At 38.8% G+C, this 22,683-nt stretch overlaps 1 protein-coding gene across 28 annotated transcripts in view; it reads left to right on the forward strand.

Moving 5' to 3' along the window:
• Positions 1 to 22,683, forward strand: part of MCTP2 (multiple C2 and transmembrane domain containing 2) — a 252,587-nt gene that overhangs the window by 146,764 nt on the left and 83,140 nt on the right. For all 28 annotated transcript variants that reach the window (NR_169532.1, NR_169530.1, NR_169529.1 and 25 more), the window contains 4 exons: positions 5,893 to 5,995; positions 7,294 to 7,396; positions 20,832 to 20,933; positions 21,792 to 21,866. Coding sequence is in view for 21 of the 28 variants with exons in the window: in XM_047432839.1 (XP_047288795.1) it covers positions 5,893 to 5,995; positions 7,294 to 7,396; positions 20,832 to 20,933; positions 21,792 to 21,866 (383 nt within the window). In the remaining 7 variants the exon portion in view is untranslated. The remainder of the gene's footprint in view (positions 1 to 5,892; positions 5,996 to 7,293; positions 7,397 to 20,831; positions 20,934 to 21,791; positions 21,867 to 22,683) is intronic.

The raw sequence follows: 22,683 nt of genomic DNA on the forward strand, positions 1-22,683 counted from the left end.
TGAGAGGAGAATGAAAATGGGAAGATGTTAGACAAGATCAGTGAATGATGATATTGTTGAGGGGCTTGAGAAGTAGCAGGGAAGTGGAGGTAGAAGAAGAAAATATTTAGGGCCAAGCGCAGTGACTCGCACCCATAATTTCAACACTTTAAGAGGACAAGGAGGGAGGATTGCTTGAGCCCAGGGGTTCCAGACCAGACTGGTCAACATGATGAAACCTGATGTCTACCAAAAAAAAAAAAATTAACCAGGTATGGTGGCATGTCCTTGTAGTCCTAGCTAGTCATAGAGGCTGAGGCAGGAGGATTGCTTGAGCCCAGGAATTCAAAGTTACAGTACCATGAGCTATGATTGCACCATTGCACTCCAACCTGGGTGACAGAGTGAGACCTTGTCTGTATTTAAAAAATACAAATAAAAAGGAAACTTTCTTATGTCACTCATCTTGTTTGCTCTAGGTGTTAGAATATAGGATTATCAGAAATTAAGATAAATAACATTTTAGCAAGGTGAAGTCCTATTTTTCCTTTACTGTTCTTGCAGTCCTAGTATGGACCTGTCTGCCCCTTGTTCTAGACATCTGTCACAGCAAGGTGAGCAGGTCTTTGCCTGTGTGATGCTGAGGAAGTCATTATTTGTCCTAGAGAAGGCCAGGACCCATCTGGAAAGGCTGGACGTACATGAAAAGTTAGGCCTAGAAGAACAGAGATCAACATTTCATTTTCTTTTAAAGGCCCCCTCAGCTCCTAGCACAGTGCTTTGCACATTCTGAGGATCATTAAGCAGTTGTTGAATATATGAACAGGTACATCATACAGCAGGCATTATAATGTCCAAACTCATTATCATAGGAGTCTGGGGTCTCCCTGGAGGTTGCAGAGAAAGTGCCACAAAGAAGGCAAGGTTAAACTAGGCCTGAGAAGTTAGTTTTTTGTTTTTTGTTTTTTTTTTTAATGTTTTCCTTTTTTGGAGAGCAAGGAGATTGGAAGGGCACAGAGGGACAACCTATTCCCCGTGCAAAGTAGGAAGCAGAAATGAGCCCTGTTACTCTGTGTGCAGGACCGGATAGGGCAGCCTAGTGAAGTTAGGAGTGGAGGAAAGAGACACCAACCTTGCTGAAGAGTTGGTGAACAGTGGGTAGATAAGGATGGGTTATGTGGGGTAAACAGAGAGAAAATATAGATTTCCAGAACTGATCAATTAAAATGTGCTCCAATATCTGATAGTAAGGTTTGTAAACAAATGGTTGGAAATAAGACATGAAAATAGAGTTTTAGAAATTTTCATCTGGAATGGCTCTGCTGTCCTCCCACGTCCCCCAAGCCTCTCTGAGCTAAAATGCTCCATATTTAGTTTCAGGAATTGTGTTGGTCCAGAAGTGCTTTCTTCCAACTCTACCCCTTGTATTGTATTGACAGTCTAGGGTGGTTCCTGGCTCCTGGATGAGTAGAATGAAATGAAAACTACTGGTCATGGTCTTCAAGCCAATCTTAGTACCTATCCACCTGTATCTTACATTACCTGATTATCGCTATTTGCCTCTCTCTCTCATATATATACAAAATGTAAATATCATATATATGATATATAATATATAATGTGTAATATAATATATGATATATAATATATATAATATATGATATGTAATATATAATTATATATGATATGTAATATATAATTATATGACATAATTATATATGACATATAATTATATATGATATATATATAATATATGACATATAATCTATACTTATATATAATATATATGATATATAATGTATAATATAATATATATAATATATATATCCTCCTAATAAATTTGATGCTTTGACCTGTCCCGTCTCCACAAGAAGGACTTATCCATTTCTGCTCATCAAACACTTCCCTTGTAAACCTCAATTAAGAATCGCCTCCACTAAGAAATCTTTCTGAACTTTTCTGAACTGAATTACATTTCTCTGAACTTTCATGCTCTCGTCTGCATTTCACTGCTGCCCTCTGTCCCTAGGCCGTAGCACTGTTCTTGGGGGATGGTAAGAGCATACATATATTGGGTGTGCCTGCATCAGGACCCTTAAGTGAATATGCATGCTGACTGTGGAGTGGAAATTTACAAATGTGGGATATAAGAGTAGTAACAGCAATATACAATTGGAGATCTGAAATGGAAACAACTCAGTTTGCTGTGGGATGAGAATGAGGAATCTTTTCTTGGAAGGGGCAGCATTTTCAGAATAGCAGAGACCATTATGAGAGTCCCTTGCAGATAATTGCTTAGGTGGTCATTGTATTTCAGGGTCAGTTTAGTGCTAGGAACATTTATTAAGCTATATGCTTAATAAACGGTTATCAAATGGGCTGGGCATGGTGGCTCATGCCTGTAATCCCAGCACTTTGGGAGGCTGAGGTGGGTGGATCACATGAGGTCAGGAATTTGAGACCAGCCTGGCCAACATGGTGAAACCCTGTCTCCACTAAAAATACAAAAATTAGCTGGGCGTGGTGGCACGTGCCTATAATCCCAGCTACCTGAGAGGCTGAGGAGGGAGAATTGCTGGAACCCAGGAGGCAGAGGCTGCAGTGAACCAAAATCACACCACTTCACTCTAGCCTAGGCAACAGAGTGAGACTCCGTCTCAAAAAAAAAAAAGGGGGGGTTATCAAATGAATGATATGACAATTGTAACACATTTATTATTTGTCATTCAGCTTCTATAATTGATACAAAGGTAAAACTGTTTAAGTGAACCCCCCCCTTACTTGCCATTCAAGAAATACAAATAAATTTTAAAGCAATGTTGGAAAATAGCAAAGGCTATTGAGTGCAAAGTGCTAAACCTCAATGTGAAACTGAATTGTCAGTGGCATAAATGTGTCAAGGTGATGTGGCTTCTGGACACAGAGGAGGTCTTCTAGATGTTATTCCTGTGAAATGGGTGGTACAAAGAGGAAAAGCACGGCCTCAAATGTATGTATGTCAGTCTCCCTTGTCCTTTTCTCTCAGTACCATTGGTGAGCATTTGGACATTTCATTTATTATGAGAGATACTTGTTATCTCAAATAAGAATATTTGTTATTGAAATTTTACTCAAAGTCCCCATATATCTGAAACTTTTTAAGAGAAATCAATCCATAAAATGTGCATAAATTATTCTATAAATATTTTAATGTCTTTGTTTCTTCTTGCTTCTCTCTGTTTATACTGTAAAATTAATAAATGCAGCATTTTAATGAGCTTTGACTGAATTATCTTCAGAGAGTTGGTACAATGTGTTCCTTGGAGACACATAACTGAAGTTCCTGGTTTCTGGAGGAAAGTCTGTTCCTCATTAGCTGGGACAGCTAAGAGCGTGCTTGCTTGAGAGAGCGGGAGCCACAGAACGAGCCCACCTGTGCCTCAACAGGACCAGGCAGCATCTCTGCCCTGCTGTGGAGTAACCCCAGGGTTTTCATTAAAAGTGTCAGACGGTTTCCCTGGAGCAACTGCTGATGGCGTGTCATGCTGGCGTCTCTGGAGGAGCAGCGCTGACACCTACTAATAGTCTGACAAACGGTTAAGTAGCTGTTTCAGCCTGGGTGGAGAAATCAAGCATGGTATACCTGAGCATTAAGCCAAAAGTATGTGGTCTCTTCTTGTTCACAGTTGCTGAAGAGGAAATGGTGTTGTTCTATGTTGGTAGGCTTTTCCCCAGCTAACTCCAGCCTCTTCCCCTGCAAACCACATGGCCAGCGTAAACTGTCTTTAAATAAATAAGACTTTTTGTGGGTGCAGATGGATTTTTATGTTAGTTTGATTTTGACTCCCCAGCATCTAAAATCCCTTCCGTGTTTGAATCATTTCCCATTGTATATTTTGAAGAAGAGGTCAGAGCCCACTTTCATTCACAGAAGCTACAAAGTCAGTATTCCCTTTATGAGTTCTGGCCTTTCAGGCCTGGGTACTTGGCTGTGTAAGACAGGCCCCGGAGGCCCTTGCATCGGTCTTGAGTGAGGCAAAGAAGCAGGAGTAGAGAATTCATATTGGAAGTGAATTGTGAGGGCAATATTCTGGGGAAGCAGAGGCCACAACAGACTTTTCCTGGTATGAGATATGGGCTGAGTTTCTTGTGCTTAAGTATTCTTTGGTTTATAGTGATATTTTTTAGCCCGATTCTCCAGCCTTTGTAGGAATTCTGAATGCTGTTTGATATTATTTTAATAAATTTCTTTTCCGCTATATGTAGACAGGGACCATTTCCATTGTTTGCAATTGAAAACCCTCACTCCTTCCTTTATGTCTGTGGCTTGATCATTGTCTACTGGCAACTGAAATAGTAGCATTGACTTAAAAGCTTTGGCGAGGAATCTAAGTGTCCAGGCCACTAGTCAGTTGAGTGGAATCTCCTGTTTAATACTATTCATCGCCCATGCGTCTGCTCTTCTCCTCCTCCCTTTTTAAACAATAATCTTCATACAGGCTCCTGCAAGTATCAGTATCTCTATTGATGTGCTGTACCTCAGAGCGCCTGGTTATTAAGCGAATTAGATGGAGGTTCAGTGACCCGAATGGTAGGCCAGCAGGTCAAGAGGCCTGAGCACTCTCTGGCTTAGGCCCTGGCCTGGGACTCCTTGGCCATTTGTTGGAACAGCGTCTGTCCTTGTGCCCCCAATTAATTTAGCAAGCGCTGCTTTGTAAAGTGCCAGTGTGCTGCAGACGCCGGCAATGCGTTAATGTCCTACGGACATTACGGAGCCATTCGTTCTTTCCCTGACAGTTCCAAATCCAGATCCTTCCGCCAAACACAGCAAAAGGGAAGTGAGTTTTTTGCTTGGTAACACTGTAGGTCTAACTTTGGATCTGGAAATTTCTTAGGTTTTTTGGTGTGCAAATATGGGAGATAGCGTAGAAAGAGGAGAGGTGAGAAGTGAAAGATGAGCTTAATTTTTTTTTGTTAAGTTAAAAACTCTGACCTTTATTGAGTTATACTTTTTTTGTTTGTTTTATGACACCAGAAATGTAGCTCGTGTATTCTCATAACGTACTGAGTATACAGGATCATGAGTGTTTGTGACCATTTGCTCAGGAGCAGAGCTTAACTCCTAAAGAGCCATTTTTACACTTTTTCTCACTTCCTCTTACAGCCATGTAGAAGCCTGTAAGTTACAGGTTTCCAGTTATAGAATAGTAATTATGCAGATTGACTTAGAATTTAGGAAGGAAACAGAGATGAACTTCATTTTAAAAACAAAGAAATGGGCTCTCATGCCAAATGGATTCCCACTCCTGTGAAATGTGTATGTGTGGCCGCTGGCTTTCAAGGCCTGGTCTTGGGTGGTGTGTTAGTCTCTTTTCACGTTGCTGATAAATACATACCTGAGGCTGGGTAATTTATAAAAGAGGGTTAATGGACTCACAGTTCCACGTGGCTGGGGAGGCCTCACAATCGTAGCAGAAGGCGAGTCACGTCTTACACGGCATCAGGCAAAAGAGAATGAGAGCCAAGTGAAAGAAAAACCACTTATAAAACCATCAGATCTCATGAGACTTATTCTCTACCATGAGAACAGTATGGGGGAAACCGCCCCCATGATTCAATTATCTCCCACCAGGTCCTTCCCACGACACATGGGAATTATGGGAGCTACAATTCAAGATGATATTTGGGTGGGGACACAACCAGACCGTATCAGGCGGTGTGTTTGTTCTAACCCGTTGAGTATTGCTAAAGGTACAACACTTGTAGCCTCTGCCTGTCTCCTGGATTCCCACACAGGGCCTCCATGACTCATTGGAAAAGCAGTCTTGCCTTCCCTCTTTCAGCAAGCACAACTTTATCTGACTCTTGTTCACATTGCCCTTGTCCCTTTCGAGATTCACTTGTCTTTGACCGATGTGTATGTTATCTTTCCAGGGAAGAGTGACCCATTTTGCTTGTTGGAGTTAGGCAATGACCGACTTCAGACGCATACCGTCTACAAAAACCTCAACCCTGAATGGAACAAAGTTTTTACATTGTAAGTGCTTTAGCCTCTGGAATTATTTCTGCTGTGCTTGGAAGGTAGTCTGGGGCTCTTGAGTGGAATTTTCTGTCCATTTTTATGGGCAAAGAGTAAATTTTATTGTTTTTTTCTTTTGAAAACCTTGTATCCTTTCATTTTTATAGAGTGTGGTGTTAATAATAGAAGAGACCATTTGGAACTGCAAGGGACTTTTATAGGAGGCATTTGTAAAGTAGATCTTTTAGTGACTAAATTAATCTATGAATAAATGGAAGCTTCCATATTTCTAGGTTAATTCATTCGTGGGTTAAGGAAATGGAGACCTGCCTTAAATTCAGTGATCTTATGTGTTCTAAGATCTGCCAAAATCTTTAGGAAAATACAGATTATCTGTGACTCCTTAGAGACCCCCAAAGGCTCCTTATATTCCAGTTTATCTGAGCGACCCATCCCATAGTGATTCTCTGCCCACACTATCAAACCTGGGCATTTAGGAGGCTGGATAGATTTAAGATCTTAGTTTGCTTCAGATTTCAAGGCACCTGAACATTGAGGGGAGGCCCTGTTGAATTTGGGTAAAATGGTGACATACTGTCCCTACGAAGCTAAATCAATGCTCTGTCTGTGCTTATAAGTGAAAAAATAAAGTTCATTTTGAGTAGAGTTAATGCTATTAGCAGAAAGTTCCCAAGGATCTATGAAAAGTGGATTAACTCTGCTAAACACTTTTGCCAATGGCCAGATATAAGAGTCTCTTGTTTCCCTAACACGTTGCCAATGGCCATGGCTCCATTTTTCATTGTCCCTGGTATCTGGCTTCTGGTCAATATTAAAATATGTATATTTTTAGTATTTTGTGTTTCAACAACAGAGGGTTTCTAAGCATTTCAGGAAATAGTGATTTTTCACCACCATTTTATTTTAAAGGTAATTCTTAATTTTAAAAAATGTTAACTCCTTTCATTTGGAAGCTTTTTAAAAATTACTTTGGTTGGACACTCTGCTAATGCTTTCTCCCTATCTCCTTCTTTATTTTGTTTCTTTGAAAGTCCTACCCTTGAGTGCAGGTATACTGTTTGAAAAATGTCATAGTAAAAAAGTTGACTTCTTTTTTTCATATGGATGTCTGAATCTTCTATGATGGAAGGTTTGGGAATACAGTCAGTTTGATTTAATTTTTGGAATTTAATTAAATGGTAGGTTTATACTCTAAGGACATACAGACTTAATTAGTGAAACAGTGTTTCCAGATCTTCATGGAACAGACTTCACTTGTGTGTTTTTGTGTATAATACATGGTATTTTTGTTACAGTCCCATTAAAGATATCCATGATGTTTTGGAAGTGACAGTGTTTGATGAAGATGGAGATAAACCCCCAGATTTTCTTGGAAAAGTTGCCATTCCCTTGCTGTCCGTAAGTTTCCTTTATTAATAAACAATTTGTGAGTCATTTTATAGTTGATGAGTTTCTATGGTCTAGAGTTGCTTTATCTTTGTCAACCTGGGGGAAAAAAATCCTCCTAACTATAGCAGGAAACGACTGTTTTATTCCTCATTCTTTTCCGGTATTTTCAGTAGTTTCAGATATAAAGGGATGTAATTTTTTTCTGTTTCAGTCCAATATTGACGTAACCAACCAAAACATTTTGACCAGTTTTTCAATTCATTTTCAGTCTTCCCAACTTAAGATAGGAATTTGTCTTTGGTTACAAGGAATATAGATGAATGACTGATTTTCTATTTATTAATGAAAAACACACATGTATTTCTTTATAGCTCCTTACTGTACATTTCTTCAAAGATTAATTGTTGGTAACTGCACATTTGTTCTCAATTCTTTTAAAGACCATTTTCCCAAAAGTTCTATTTGTCTTTTTAGCAGTCATGTTTGCTTTTGGTCTCAAAATTTAAAAATGCTTTGTGGAAGAAAGCAGAGGGCCTTTCTTGGAGAAGGAAAAGAGTTTTCGCAGTCCAGCTATAAGATAATGCACCAGGGTCCGTGAAGGAAAAAATACTTACAAAATTCAGAAGAGAAAGCACCAAAGAATGCCTTTACATGGGTCGGGGGGAAGCTGGGGAGTGAATTCATCTCTTAATTAGACAGTGATATATGTACCAAACATACTCTTTGAGAAGAGAGAATTCCAGTTTTTCATCCAACCATTAACACAGTTTGTTTTAGGCTTATTATGGCTTTATCAGCCAATGAGACTTTATTCTTCCCAAAGACTTATTTTTTCCAAGCTATCTGTGGATTTTTGTGGATGGAGCACTCCGTAATTTAACCATGAGATTAGCCTAACTCACTTGATGTTTACAGAGGGAGGAATGCCGTACTTCTTACTATCTTTTCTTCTGTGTTTGTGCACTTGGATAATTTCTCCCCGAGTTCTCATATCCCTGATGTTACTCGGAGAGCCTGTCTGCAGCATCTGCTCCCTGGTACGGCTGGCTCCTGCCACATGCTCTGAGCCATCGGCACCAGCCGAGCAGCTCTCAGAGAGGAGATGGCAATTTGGGATTTCCCCCCCTTTTTTTTTCATTACAACTTTGTCAGTTATTCCCATGAGAATACATGTAACCAGAATGTGGGGGACACTTTAGAGAGGTCTGGGGGACTCAAAGCAAAGACTCTCCTTGACAGTTTTCTCATTTCACTTTTTTTATTCCTTGCTTGGTGAACATGACTTAAAAACAAAACAAAACAAAACAAAACAACTCCCCTCTGTTTTGTACCTAAAAGTTTTGTGTGTTTGGTCTTTCTGTACTACCAACAACTGACTTAGCTCGCCTGCCTGCCTTCCTTTCCCCAAACCCTTACCCGATTCTGTCTTTCTCTTCTTCCCTCCTTGTAGCCAACCTAAAAAAAAGTCAAAGTGTGTGGTGGCTGGCATTTAAAGTAGGCTTTCCCAAAACATTCTACCTCGTATTTTGAAGGATCTGGTTTGTGAAAAGCATTAGCATAGGTTACTGGTTCTTCCTTTTTCTCTCCTTCCTCTCCTCCCTTCCTCCTTCCTCCTTCCTCCTTCCCCCCTTCCTCCTTTCCTTCCTCCCTCTCTCCTTCCTTCCCTAGAAGATCTAAGAAGTTACCTCCAGCTTAATCAGGGTTTCTCAGTCTTGGCACTATTGATATTTGGGGCCAGGACATTCTTTGTCATATGGAGCTGCCCTGTGCATCGTAGCATGTCCAGCCGTCTCCCTGACCTCTACACACTAGATAACAGTAACGCCTGCCCACATCCCTGCTGTGACAGCCAAATATGTATGTGGATGTTGCCAGATATTCTGAGGGGGTAGAGATCACTTCCAGTCAAGAACCGCTGACCTAAACTAATGCATTTTTCAAAACATATCTTTCAAAATACAAGGTAGAATGTCTCAGGAATGACCTGGCTTAAATGCAAGGAGTCCTCGATTGGGACTTTTTTCAGATTGGTCATAAGCTGCCTTATGATCTGTTGTTCATTCGTTTGTTCCACAAATATTCATCAAGTGTCCACTTGGTGCCAGGCAGTGCTTTAGGTGATAGAGCTCTAACAATGACCAGAGGGAGGCTCCCTCCTCTCTTGGAGCTTTTGTTATAGTAGCAGGAAACAATGCATAAACAAAACAAAAGCAATATACAGAATGTTAGATGGTGAAAAGTAAAGAGGGAGAGGGTTGCTGGGAATATGTGTGGGGAAGGGCACTTTTTTCCAGCTGCTAGCCAGGGAGGGCCTCATGGAAAAAGGGGCATTTGAGTGGGAACGTAAGGAGGTGAGGGAGAGAGCCATGTGGATATCTGAGAAATCCCTCCCAGGCAGGAAATTCTCAAGTTCAAGGGCTGTGAGGCAGGACCTTGACTGTCAAATTCCAGCAATGGCCGGGCAGCCAGTATAGATTGATCAAGTGTGCCTGTGGCGAACAGGAAAGGACACAGAGGTAGGGTGGAGCTGGAGAGGACCCTGGAGGATGTGAAAGTGAAAAAGGTTGAAGTACTTTGGCATTTTCATCGTGGGGGATGGGAAACCACGAAGAGTTTCAGGCCAGGAAGTGCTTGATTTGTTCCACATTATGTGTTTGTTTCTAATATAAAAGTGCTGTGTACATCCAGGAATAACCCCTGATCTGCAAGGTCTCTACCTTGTAAAATAGCACAGCCTGGGCCATTCCTTTCAGGGACTTCGGGGGACCCTGGCATGGTGCACTCAGTAAGATGCTTCGGCTGCTGCTGTTCACTCTGTTTCAATCCAGATTCATTTCCAATTCCTGACTGATAAATTGGGGAAGTGATCATATCTTCTAGTGCATCTGTGTGGGCTCTCCCTGAAATTCAGTGGTCCACCTGCAACATTCCCTCTCCAAATGAATTGATTCTCTATCTAATATTAGATATAAATATGATCTTAAAATTGCTGTAACCCTCAATTTAACTGGCAAAGTATAAGCTGTAAGTTGTTTCATGGATCATTCTATTTTCAAATAATTCTAACTTGTGATTTAGAGGATGTGTTTTAACCTACTTATTTAGATCTAGTTTTTTTTTCTTTAATCTCTCTTGAGTGATGCTTACAATAGAATAGTGAACTAGCAAGTTCTGTGCCTTACACTTGGCATGTGCTGAACCATCAGTTCTCTAAGGACTGGATGAGGCAGCCTTTATTATTATGCCCATTTACAAATAAGGATACTGAAGCACCGAAAGGATCCTGTAGCTAGTAAGTAATAGAGACAGGATTTGAATTTAGGTGGTCTCATACTAAAGCCTGAGCTCCTAAGAGTTTGTTATATTGCCACAGTGAGTAATTATTAAGTATATATCATCTCCAAAGCAAGAATCAAGAGGCTATTTTGTGTAACCACTGTGCTATGTGCCGTCAGGGTCGGGGTTGGGGGGTGGCAGGAGGGACACAGACTTGAAGAGTTGGGTAACTTGCAGGAAGGCACCTGTGCAATAAACACGTAAGACCCAAATAAACATATAAGTCTCACAGGAACGAGAAAGGGCAGTGGGAAGTAGGACGGATGGGTTTAAGTTTAGGAAGACTTAGGAAGTGTAGGGAGTTTGAGCTGGGTCAGGGGTGAGTGGCGTGTTGATAGTGTGTGGCAGGTGAAGTGAAGAATGAAGGACATTCCAAACAGAGGGTCCAGGAATGAGGGGAGCAGAGGTGTAGGGGAAAGGCCGTGTCTGGGAATGAGGAGGGGCCTGGCTTCTGGGAGCTCAGGGTGGGCATGGAGGGGAAGTGGGACACACTGAGGGCAGCCCAGGAAAGGTTGAGGGAGGTCTCGGTTACTGTTTTAGCAGGGAGCCACTGAAGATTTTTGACCTGGAGGTAGAGATATTGGAGCAGTTGACTAGGAAGAAAGTTTCGGCTCTAGTATGAAGCAAATTAGTGAGAGAGAAGACTCTTCCCAGAAGACTTGGTTCAAATTCTGAGAATTAAGCATCAAAGGACACCCTTAGATTTCATATTGTGTGCTTCTTTAGGAGAAGGACTTGTTTCTCTGTTTTTTTGTTTTGTTTTGTTTTTTAACGTGAGCAAGAATCATAAAAATTGATTTGTTGGTGTTTCTCTCTGATCTTTATAGGCAGTGGAGCCATAATAATACCTTATTTTAGGTTTAAAAACAGAAAAAACAGAAATTGTATTTCTTGAAGAGGAATGTGAATAATTTTTTTGAGAATTCATTTTCTCTAATCAAGTTATAAACCGTAACTTGATTTACACTTTTAGAGAAAATGCAAACTATATTTTTAAATGTCTAAGTATAAAGTATGGAATATACTTCAACTTTTAATCTCACTCAAAATGGTAATGTGCTAAGTGCATTTAAGCCTGTTAAATGAAGAGCCTGTTCCAAATTCACTATATCTTTTTAATCAAGGTGAATGTGCTGACTACTGACTCATTTAAAATCCATATAAATATATTCATTATTGATGGTGAATGTTCAAGGCATATATATATATATATATATATATATATATATATATATATGTATATATATATATATATATATATGTATATATATATATATATACTTAGATGTTTATCATAATTGAAAGAATACAGGCCAATGGGCTATCCTTCCATATATTTCATTTGTCTTCAATCTTTTTCAGAAAAATAGTTCTTTATATAGATATAGAATACTTTTTAATAAAATATTCATGGTTAAAAACAGTAGAAAATTGAGATTGGAATGCGTTATAATCTGAAGACTTCTAATATTTGCTCATTTTCACATTGCTCCTTTAATCTTCTAATCAGTAACACAATAAGTGTGCATTGGAAAACTCTAAGCACACTTCAGAGTCTTAAAACATGTCAGGCAGTAGACACGATCTTCTGATAATTCACTGACTCAATAGACTTATTTAATATTTTTATCCTTAATTAAGTGATCTTAATTCTGTCCTGAAAATCAGGCTGGATTCTTCTCCAGGCCATTCCTTTTTATTGAATCACACATTTACCCTTTCAAAATTACCCAATGGACCCATTTCAGAAGACTGAAAATCAGCTTTCATGGTAATCTGTAAAACAGGAAAAGCATGCATATATTGGTATTTCCTAATAACAAATAAGAAGTCATCTGCAGTTTGATGAAGACCTGCAATTTCTTTTCTTTTCTTTTTTTTTTTTTTTTTTTTTTGGGATGGAGTCTTGCTCTGTTGCCTGGGCTGGAGTGCAGTGGCTTGATCTTGGCTCACTGCAACCTCCACCTCCCAGGCTCAAGCAATTCTCCTGCCTCAGTCTCCTGAATAACTGGGATTACAGGCACCCACCACCATGCCTGGCTAATTTTTGTATTTTTAGTAGAGACAAGGTTTCACCATGTTGGCCAGGCTGGTCTCAAACTACTGACCTCAGGTGTTCTGCCCACCTCAGCCTCCCAAAGTGCTGGGATTACAGGCGTGAGCCACCATGCCCTGCCAAAGACCTGCATTTTGAATCAGATGTGAGTCCTTCTGTGTGAGCCAGGCCAATGTCACAAATGACTGTATAATCAGAAGCATGGGTCTTTATACTGTCCTTCTAAATTCCCAGTGTTCTCGGTGAATCCATGTACACCCGATAGCTGGCTGCACCAATAACAGCTTCACTTAATTGATTTACTGGGACAAATTTTCTATAATGGCTTGTACCAAATAAATGCCATGTGTATCTCCATTTGCATTTTCAATTAACTCTATTGCCCAAGTTTCACCTGTGATGGGTTTGTGCTTTGAAATGGACTTGAACAGTCATAGGTTGTTTTAGGTTAATACAGAAATTTTTGCCCATTAAAGTAAATAATATTGATTTATAATTAAGCTTTAAAAAAAGTAAATCTGTTGCCAAGGTTTGGTTTTCCAGGGCATAGATTTGGTTGGCAAATTCCATGTAAGTCAAGTTGGTGCCGTAGGGTAGAGGGGCAGTGTGCATAGGTGAAAAGGAGAGAGGGATGTATCACCTGGGAAATTATTTGATAAACACAAAACTTGAGTCCCAAGTGGGGCGAAAATGGTCACTTTGAACGGAAATTTCACCTCTTCTCATTGTCTACTCCTGGTCCAATGTAACCATTGAAATAAATAAATGAAGACAAAATAACGCAAATTTCCTATTGGTTCTAGAAACTAGGAAAGAATACCTTTAACATGCTGGAGAGATCCTGAACCCCATGTAGTAGACAGTCTAGGTGTTTGATTAGAACAGACAGGCTAAGAGAGAAAGAATGACTGTAGGAGTCTCCTGATGGCAAGTAGAAAGCTGGGTGAATCACACGTGGTAGATGTTAAATCAGTTCAACTTTTCTATTAAGTGGAAAAACCTCTTACATGGATTCAAAGAGTAAAATCTAATTGCTGCTTCTTTGAGACACCTAAAACACAGTAATACACAAACGGATGAACAAAAGTATCCTACACAAATGTAAGTAAAAGGTAGGTCAGAAACTCGATACAGGTTTTAGGGGTAAAAAAAAGATTGAATTAACAATAAGGTTATTATAAGGCCAGGCGCGGTGGCTCATGCCTGTAATCCCAGCACTTTGGGAGGCTGAGGTGGGCGGATCACGAGGTTAGGAGATCGAGACTATACTGGCTAACCCGGTGAAACCCTGTCTCCACTAAAAAATACAAAAAATTAGCCGGGTGTGGAGGCAGGTGCCTGTAGTCCCAGCTACTCAGGAGGCTGAAGCAGGAGAATGGCGTGAACCCGGGTGGCGGAGGTTGCAGTGAGCAGAGATAATGCCACTGCACTCCAGCCTGTGTGACCAAGCGAGACTCCATCTCAAAAAAAAAAATAGTAATAGTAAGGTTATTATAAATATGAACCTTTAAGGGGATAACTTTTCATACAAATATATGTGCATATTAAAACAGGGAAAAATAATAAAACTAGAATTGTCAAATGATATATATTATGTATTCAGCATTTTAAAAAATCAGAAACAGGCTGGGTGTGGTGGCTCACACCTGTAATCCCAGCACTTTGGGAGGCCGAGCCAGGTGGATCACAAGGTCAGGAGTTCGAGACCAGCCTGACCAACATGGTGAAACCCTGTTTTCTACTAAGAATGCAAAAAAATTAGCTGGGCATGGTGGCATGCGCCTGTAATCCCAGCTACTCAGGAGGCTGGGGCAGGAGAATCGCCTGAACCTGGGAGACGGAGGTTGCAGTGAGCCAAGATCACGCCACTGCACTCCAGCCTGGGTGACAGAGCGAGACTTCATCTCAAAAAACAAACAAACAAACAAACAAAAAAAAACAAAAAACTTGGAGAAAAAATAGAGCTATTCCCTCTATTTTCTCATCTTTAAATTGATAATAGTTCCTATTGCATAGGATTGTTTGGAAAATCTAATGAGCTTCTATGTTTATGAATTAACAATTAAAAATTAAGCCTTTTATGTCCGTTTTGAGCAATACAAAATTGTAACAAATATGAAATTATGCACATTTTAATAAAGGAAATATTTGCAAATACTATCTGATAATATATTATCTTTGAATAATAATATGTATTATCTATGAACATAAAGAAAATTCATAGAAAACATTTTGGAGTGACTAAAATGTCAGTAAGATCAACATTATGAAAATAAGATTCGTGACTATACACAACAGGAAAACATTTTTAAAAAGTGAAAAAGAATCCAAGACTGTAACACAAAACAAAACAAAAAATGATAATGTCTAAGATTTATGTGAAGAAATTCTAGGACTGTACTGAAGGGCTTGAGAGAGGACTAATTGGAAATCACTTAATTTATAATAAACTTGAAGGATGAAGTCATTGAGGAAATGATAAACTACTTAAGTAATTCTGGTAATTTGGTTGCTTACCATCGGGGAAAATGTGTCGGTGTATTACAGCAAACACAACAATTTCAAGATAAGTTAAAGATCAAACACTTGTAACAAACTTCATTAAAAATGTCAAAATAGTGGGGAAATCCTATGTAAGTAAACTGAGAAGCAGGAATAATAAGAGAAAAAAAATCTTAAGATATCAGTATGGCCAAAACAAAAATCGCCATCAGATATTGAAGACAAAGGATAGACTGGTAAAAAATACTGGCAGTATCTAAACAAATGGATAATATCACTAGTACAGTATATACATTTTCTTTAATCAATAAGGAAAATACAAGTCAACCTAGCAGAAAACTTAAAGAAGTCAAAATCAGCCAGTCACGGTGGCTCACACCTGTAATCCTAGCACTTTGGGAGGCCAAGGTGGGTGGATCACCTGAGGTCAGGAGTTTGAGGCCAGCCTGGGCAACATGGTGAAACCTTGTCTCTACTAAAAATACAAAAATTAGCTGGGCGTGGTGGCGTGCTTCTGTAATCCCAGCTACTCAGGAGGCTGAGGCAGGACAATCACTTGAACTCAGGAGGCGGAGGTTGTGGTGAGCCAAGACTGCACCATGGCACTCCAGCCTGGGCAATAGAGCAGAACTCCATCTCAAAAAAAAAAAAAAAAAAAAAAATGTAAAAAACGTGGTAGCTGAACACGTATGAATGGCTCATGATTTATTCAATTATGATCATGATGGTCGAGAATGTAAATGCTATAGCCAGACCACCTAGGTTGACACCCTGACTCCCCCTTTAAACTGGCTGTGTGATTTTTAACATTACTTAACTTATCTTATCTGTCTGCATTTCTTTGTTGCTGAAGTGAAGATAAGTATCCTTCTGCTTGTATTGGAGGTGTATGGTGAAGATCAGAGTTGTTAAGTATGAGGTGGGCACAACATTCCCCGGCACACAGTGAGCACTTATAGTGTAAGCTGGCATTATTTTCATCTGCATTGTTTTAGCAATTGAAATGATCAAATACGAATATGCCTTAAAAACTTCATATGAGTGTTTGTTTAAAAATGTTACATTAACATTGTGACTGGGTGCAGTGGCTCACACCTGTAATCACAGCACTTTGGGAGGCTGAGGCGGGTGGATCACGAGGTCAGGAGATCGAGACCATCCTGGCTAACATGGTGAAACCCTGTTTCTACTAAAAATACAAAAAATTAGCTAGGTGTGGTGGCATGTGCCTGTAGTCCTAGCTACTCAGGAGGCTGAGGCAGCAGAATCACTTGAACCTGGGAGGCAGAGGTTGCAGTGAACCAAGATCACGCCACTGCACTCCAGCCTGGGCGACAGGGTGAGACTCCATCTCAAAGAAAGAAAAAAAAAAGTTATATTAACATTGTGTTTTTTCTATTAAACACTTTTTATAAATTGTACACAACTTTTGGAATGAATATATATTGCTTTTGTAGGAGCAGCTTATATTTTAGGGATAGTTGGTTTGGGTTTCAGGCAGTGGATGAATGGATTGTCTCAAAAAGGAAGAAGTGAGGTAGAAATGGAGGCGGTCTAGGGTGATGAATTCCATGCTGCCTCTACTGGCTGGTAGCTGAGCTTCTGTGCAGCAAACAGTGACCTAGTAGATCTCTCTCTAGGTGCTGTTTGTATAACTCACATCATGGGAATAAGGCCTGATTCCAAGTGGTGACAAGAATGTGAATGGATACCGAGTAAAGTGTATTGATTTTCCTCTTGCCCAGCCACATGTCTGTCCTCGTCACATTTTATTGGAGAGCCACTTTCCATGTGCATCAGCTGGAACCAACTAATATGTCATGGTATTGTCACGTTATTTTCCCTTTTATGCAGAGTGAATAAGAGTGAATAACGGCTGAAAGAGCAATGCTATTTATACGCAACATCCTCAGTTTCTAACTGGAAGGTCAAACAATGGGGAATCAGTATGACCCTTTAGTTTGGATTTTGATCTTAAGTGTGTATCTTTCCTCTCTAAAGCCATTGATGGTTTTATTCCTTCATATTGATTCTGATGAACTTTGCTATTGAATGAGTTGGCAATTCATTGCATCAAAGATCTTTATAGGAAAGCATAATAATGATAATTTTTTTAAAAAGAGTTCAAGATGAGAAGTTTTTTTCCTCTGTTCTCACATGCTCACCTCTGTTATATGCTGATTATAAAATAGTTTAGTTTTTTAATATAATGAGTGTACCATTTATTTGACTCAAAAATTAGTTTTACCAACCAACTTCTAAAAACTGGTTATATTTACTGTGCTTACTGCTTGGTAAATATATTTAATATTCTTTTATATAGAAAAAAGTTAAATAGCTTAAGCATGACTCTGGGTCAAATTAAAAATTTTCAGCAAGACTGTCTTCAGTGACTTGGCTCTGGTTCCAAAGTCCTGAATCATTACTCAGAAACAGACTTCTTGTACTTTTATTTACTGACCGATTGAACCAGGGATCAGCTGTTAGCATGCTCTATAAAAGCTTTGTGATATATTTCTGAAAATAATATAAGGGACATGAAAGTGTCAATTTTCCTGATGAGGGGTGTTTGCATTCTCAAGTTAAATCTGTTATTACTGTCCTGCATAGATGGTTTCTTCAGCTTATTGCCTAATATTATGCACTATTTGGCCATGAAAAGGCAAGTATACAAAAATGTGTAGTAAGTCAATTTGAAGAGTTTATCCTGGAAAACTGAAGTTAAAGACATCATTATTTTATCCAAGACTCATATTTGAGTGAAGTGAAGTCCTCCCAAATGTCAGCTCAGGAAATCTCTCCAAATGAATTGCCTTGTCTTTTTGTCATAAATTGAAAGCTGTATTTTTCCTTTTTGCCTTTGCTGACGGAGATCTCAAAATTAATGAAAAGTATATATAGATTCTCTCCTCTAAATTTTCTTTTTAATTATGTCTGTTTAATTATTTAATAGAAGCTTTAAGGTTATAAATGTAGAAATAATTTTCAGACTTTTAAATATAAATAATAAATTTTGTTTAGACGTGGAATTGTGTGTGTGTGTATATATATATGTTTGGTTTTCATCTATTATATAAATGCTCTCATGTAGGAGTTTGGCAAGTTGGATGATACAGAACTTTTTATCTGATATTCTTGTTTTAGAAGTTCAATTATATAATCAGGGAGGAAAATATTTTTAAAAGTAGTCTCTTCTGTTACTATCTCAATGTTAATTATAACACTATTCAAATGTGTTCACCTGTTCTTAACCCAAACATATTCCAAATACTAACTAGCATTTCTTCTTTCCTTTAGCTTTTATCTTTTCTCTAAAGATATTCCTTGTAGCAGACAAACTAGAAAAGTGGAAGCAACTAAATGTTCATCAATAGGAGAATGAATAAATTATAGTTTATTCACTTTTTAAAGATTATATAGCAGTATAAAAAATGAACCAGACCTAGATACTAATATAAACAGATTACCAAGTCATATTGATAGATACAAAACAAAATTGCAAAATACACACAATTTGTCACTTAGGCAAAGAATTTTAAATACATTTGTCTGTCAAGACTATTTTTATGAATATAAAATCTCAATAAAATTTAGAAAGGATGCCTGCCAAATTCCTGTCTAATTTATGTTTAGGGGAAGGAATTTGGTGTTTGTGGAAGTTCAAAGGGACTTCAGTTTTTTCTGCAATTTTTAAACTTTTTACAGTTTTTAAACTTATATTCTATTTTTTAAGATAGTTAAGTCCCAAACATGCATGGGTTTAATTCTATCTCAGGCTTTGATGCCTGCTTTCATGTCCTTAGGTGGGTTCTGATTTTGCTGACACAATGTGAGGGACATTAGGAAACAGGAAATGGTCATTTACCAAATTAAAAAATCCCTTTGCTATAAAATATTTCTCTTTATTCTGATACCTCTTGTTCTTCTGTTATTCTTTGCCAACCCTTAAGAAATCATGGAAATTTTAAGATAACAGTACAATGACTGTGCGTTGAAGCAAAGCTAAACTGGACCCAAGTCAGCTTGGCAAATTGTCAGGCTGTTTTTGTATTTATTTCTTTCAACTTTAACATCCACAATTTATTAAGTGAGACTGTGTATCAAGGCGGAAGCTCAGAATCCTGTTTGGACACCGTTTAGGAAGGAAACCAGGTCTTTATGGGGCACCCCCTTCCTCTTAGCTGCTGGCCAGGAAGACCATCCTTCTGTATCAAGCCTATTCAATCAGAGAGAGGTGGGGTGACTTTGGGAAGGAAGATGACCTCTCCCTTGTAAAGTGGAATTGCTGTTTCCCCCCATGACTTATACAACTCATTTCTACCACTGTTTATAAGAACACTTGTGTGAATGCTTGTAGTGACAGCAATAGTCATTTAAAATATGGCTCAAATTTCATGCTGTTAGATTTCCTATGCTATTGAAATTTTTGATCATTACAATCTCAAATAGAGCTTTTGATTAACTGGAGTTTTGCTGAGGCCCTTTTAGAGTTAATAGGTATGCTTCTTAAAAGCCCAAAGTTTAATCAGTTACATATACTACTACTATGTAAAATCATGACTGCTATCAAATCTGAAAAGAGAATGATGAAATCAAGCTAATTAACTTGTCTTTCATGGGAGCCAATCAGTTTCCAAAATCATACTGAAAATGTTTTACTTAGATAACTTATATGTGGGGTCCACAGGTAGACTACTGTATGGAACTGATGCAACATGCCAGCCAAGAGAGGACAGCAGAGAAACTTGTTTATTTTGAAGATTTGTTGGCACTTTGTGCATTTTGAGTGTTTTTGGATTTTGACCTCAACCTTAAGCTGATTTATTTACTTAATTTGCATTGTTTCCTGGCTTGTAAAGCACCATTAAAACCAGCTCCTTTATTCATTTCTGTTAAAAATAACATTTTGGGGGGAATACTTTTAGATTTACAGAGAAGTTCAAAGAGAATACAGGGTTCCCCATACATACCTTATCCAGTTTATTCTAATGTTGACGTTATATACTACCATAATACATTTGTTAAAACTGAAAAGAACTAACATTGTTACCTTGTGATTAAACTCTGATCCCTATTTGGATTTCACCGGTTTTTGCACCAATATCTTTTTTCTGTTCAAGGACCCAATCCAGAATACCACATTGCATTTAATCATCTTATCTCCTTAGACTCTTCTAATCTGTGACAGTTTCCTAGTCTTTCCTTTTTCCCGTGACCTTTACAGTCTTGAAGAGTATTGGCCAGGAATTTTGTAGAATATTCATCATTTTTGAGTAAATGGAAATATGTAACTTATGATTTGCACCAATATTTTTCATCCACACACCAGTTTCAGCCTAGTGATCATCACTTTATCTTCCTATCTAGAGCTTGTTATAACAGCACTCTAAAAGTAAAAGGCGATTTATGGTGGATTTAATATTTCTTTAATGTTTGCTTCACCTGTGATCATTGTGCATCCCCAATTTTGCCAAAGTTAGTTTTGGTTATTTACTTTAAACCACATAGTAATTTTGCACCAATGTGTATTTTGTCTTTTGTTTGTGACAGATTAGAGATGGACAACCGAATTGTTATGTACTAAAGAATAAAGATTTAGAACAAGCTTTTAAAGGAGTTATTTACTTAGAGATGGACCTTATATATAATCCGGTAAGTCTAGCTGGGTCATACTTCCCGGCTTTCCCGTACCTAAAATAGAAGGTGACCAGCCTTTGGAGGCTCAAATCAATGTAAGATGTTTCAGAATTTTTGCAGCTACAGAGAGGAAAGAATAGTGTTTTAAAGCTGTGCATTTTATAAGCAGGTTACCCTCATCTCCTGCTTTCTTCTGGAAAACGTTTGTGTATAGAGTATGTATACTGGTAAAACCTGAGTTTAATGGAAAAGTGGAATACAGGCTTGAAGAGAAAATATTTCGGTTAAGGAATTTTACAGTTCGTGTGATGTGGAGAAGGACTTGAATCTGATTCTTTGGGGTCTTACTCAGTCTGGTGGTTTGAACAAGTGCTAAGTCCCTCTGACCCTCAGTTTATTCCCTGTAAAATGGGGCTAAAATGGCTCATTGACTTATTTTTCCGGGTCATTGAAAGGAAATAAAATTCTCTGTGAAAAGTGTCTTTTCATAAACTGGAAATTGTTATTCACATGCAGACATTTTTGGTAGAAGCTTAACTCAAAAGGATTTCAGAAGGAAGTTTTATCTTTTACGGACGTTAGTTTGAAAAATTCATGAACCTCAATCTCTGCAGTGGTTGAAAATACCCCCAAGGAATGAGCAAAGTGGAGACAGTACCCTTCTAGACTCAATCTGACCCATGCCAGGGACTCTTATCAAATGAGACCTCCAGAAACATGTACAGGGCACAGGGGTGTCCACCATTTCTTTGCTCCCTGCTAAGGTCAGAGTCAGAAGCTATTGGTCTGCACGATTTTCCCAGTCATTAAGAAAACTAGGTGGATGAAGTCCCTATACATGCTGCCCTTTTTTAACAAGGATGTCTTTTCTAGGTGAAAGCAAGTATTAGGACTTTTACTCCCCGGGAAAAGCGCTTTGTTGAAGACAGCCGCAAGCTGTCCAAAAAGGTGGGTCGCTACAGTAGGTGGCTTGTTGATTGGTACACTCAGCACCCAGCAGCTGAAGTATTAACACTTGCCTGTAATTTCTTCCTTGAAACTTTTCCTCCCTCTTACTCCTCCTCTCTCCCTCTTGCCCCATCTCTCCACTTATTTCTCCTTGTCCCCTTCTCTCCTAAAATAAGGAGGTCAGTCAGCTCCCATAAGAAGGGCAAGACTTAAAACATAATTCTTGGGTGAAACAGAAGGTCTCAGGCCCCCATTATTCTCCTGATTCATTGTATAAACAAAAATTCCTAGCATCAAGACTGTCAGTGTCTTGTCCTGCCTATCCGTCCTTTAATCACAGCCATTTTGTCCTCTGCCCTTTGAAGTTTCAGGGAGGTGCAGTGTGTGGAGTCAATCACAGAATTAACCCAGCAGATCTTCAGAGACTTCTAGCCTGGGTTTCGCTCATGACTGCTCCTACCACTTCGGCGTGGTCTAAATTTGGGATGTGTTGGCATTTCACCCCATACTGAATGCAAGTTCTCTCCCTCTGCCTATTGCCCTTAACTCCTTTCTCATTCAGTTCAACAAAAGGTGAAGTTCAGGGTCTGGTAGGGGAAGTTTCACTTTTTTTTTTTTTTTTTTCCGTGACCTTTACATTCCTTTTTCAGAGTCCCTCCCTGTTGTACTCTCCGCAGCTCAGGATTTCACTTTGTACCTATCGTCCCTCTTCAATTGTATAACAAAGAACAAAGTGTCCCCTTTTTCAAGAGTTTATTACTTCCACCACTTCCTTTGGGGTGAGCAGCTGTGGATTACATAAAGCAGTTAAATATAA

The sequence above is a fragment of the Homo sapiens genome, chromosome 15 (genome assembly GCF_000001405.40).
Source record: "Homo sapiens chromosome 15, GRCh38.p14 Primary Assembly".
Lineage (NCBI taxonomy): Eukaryota > Metazoa > Chordata > Mammalia > Primates > Hominidae > Homo > Homo sapiens.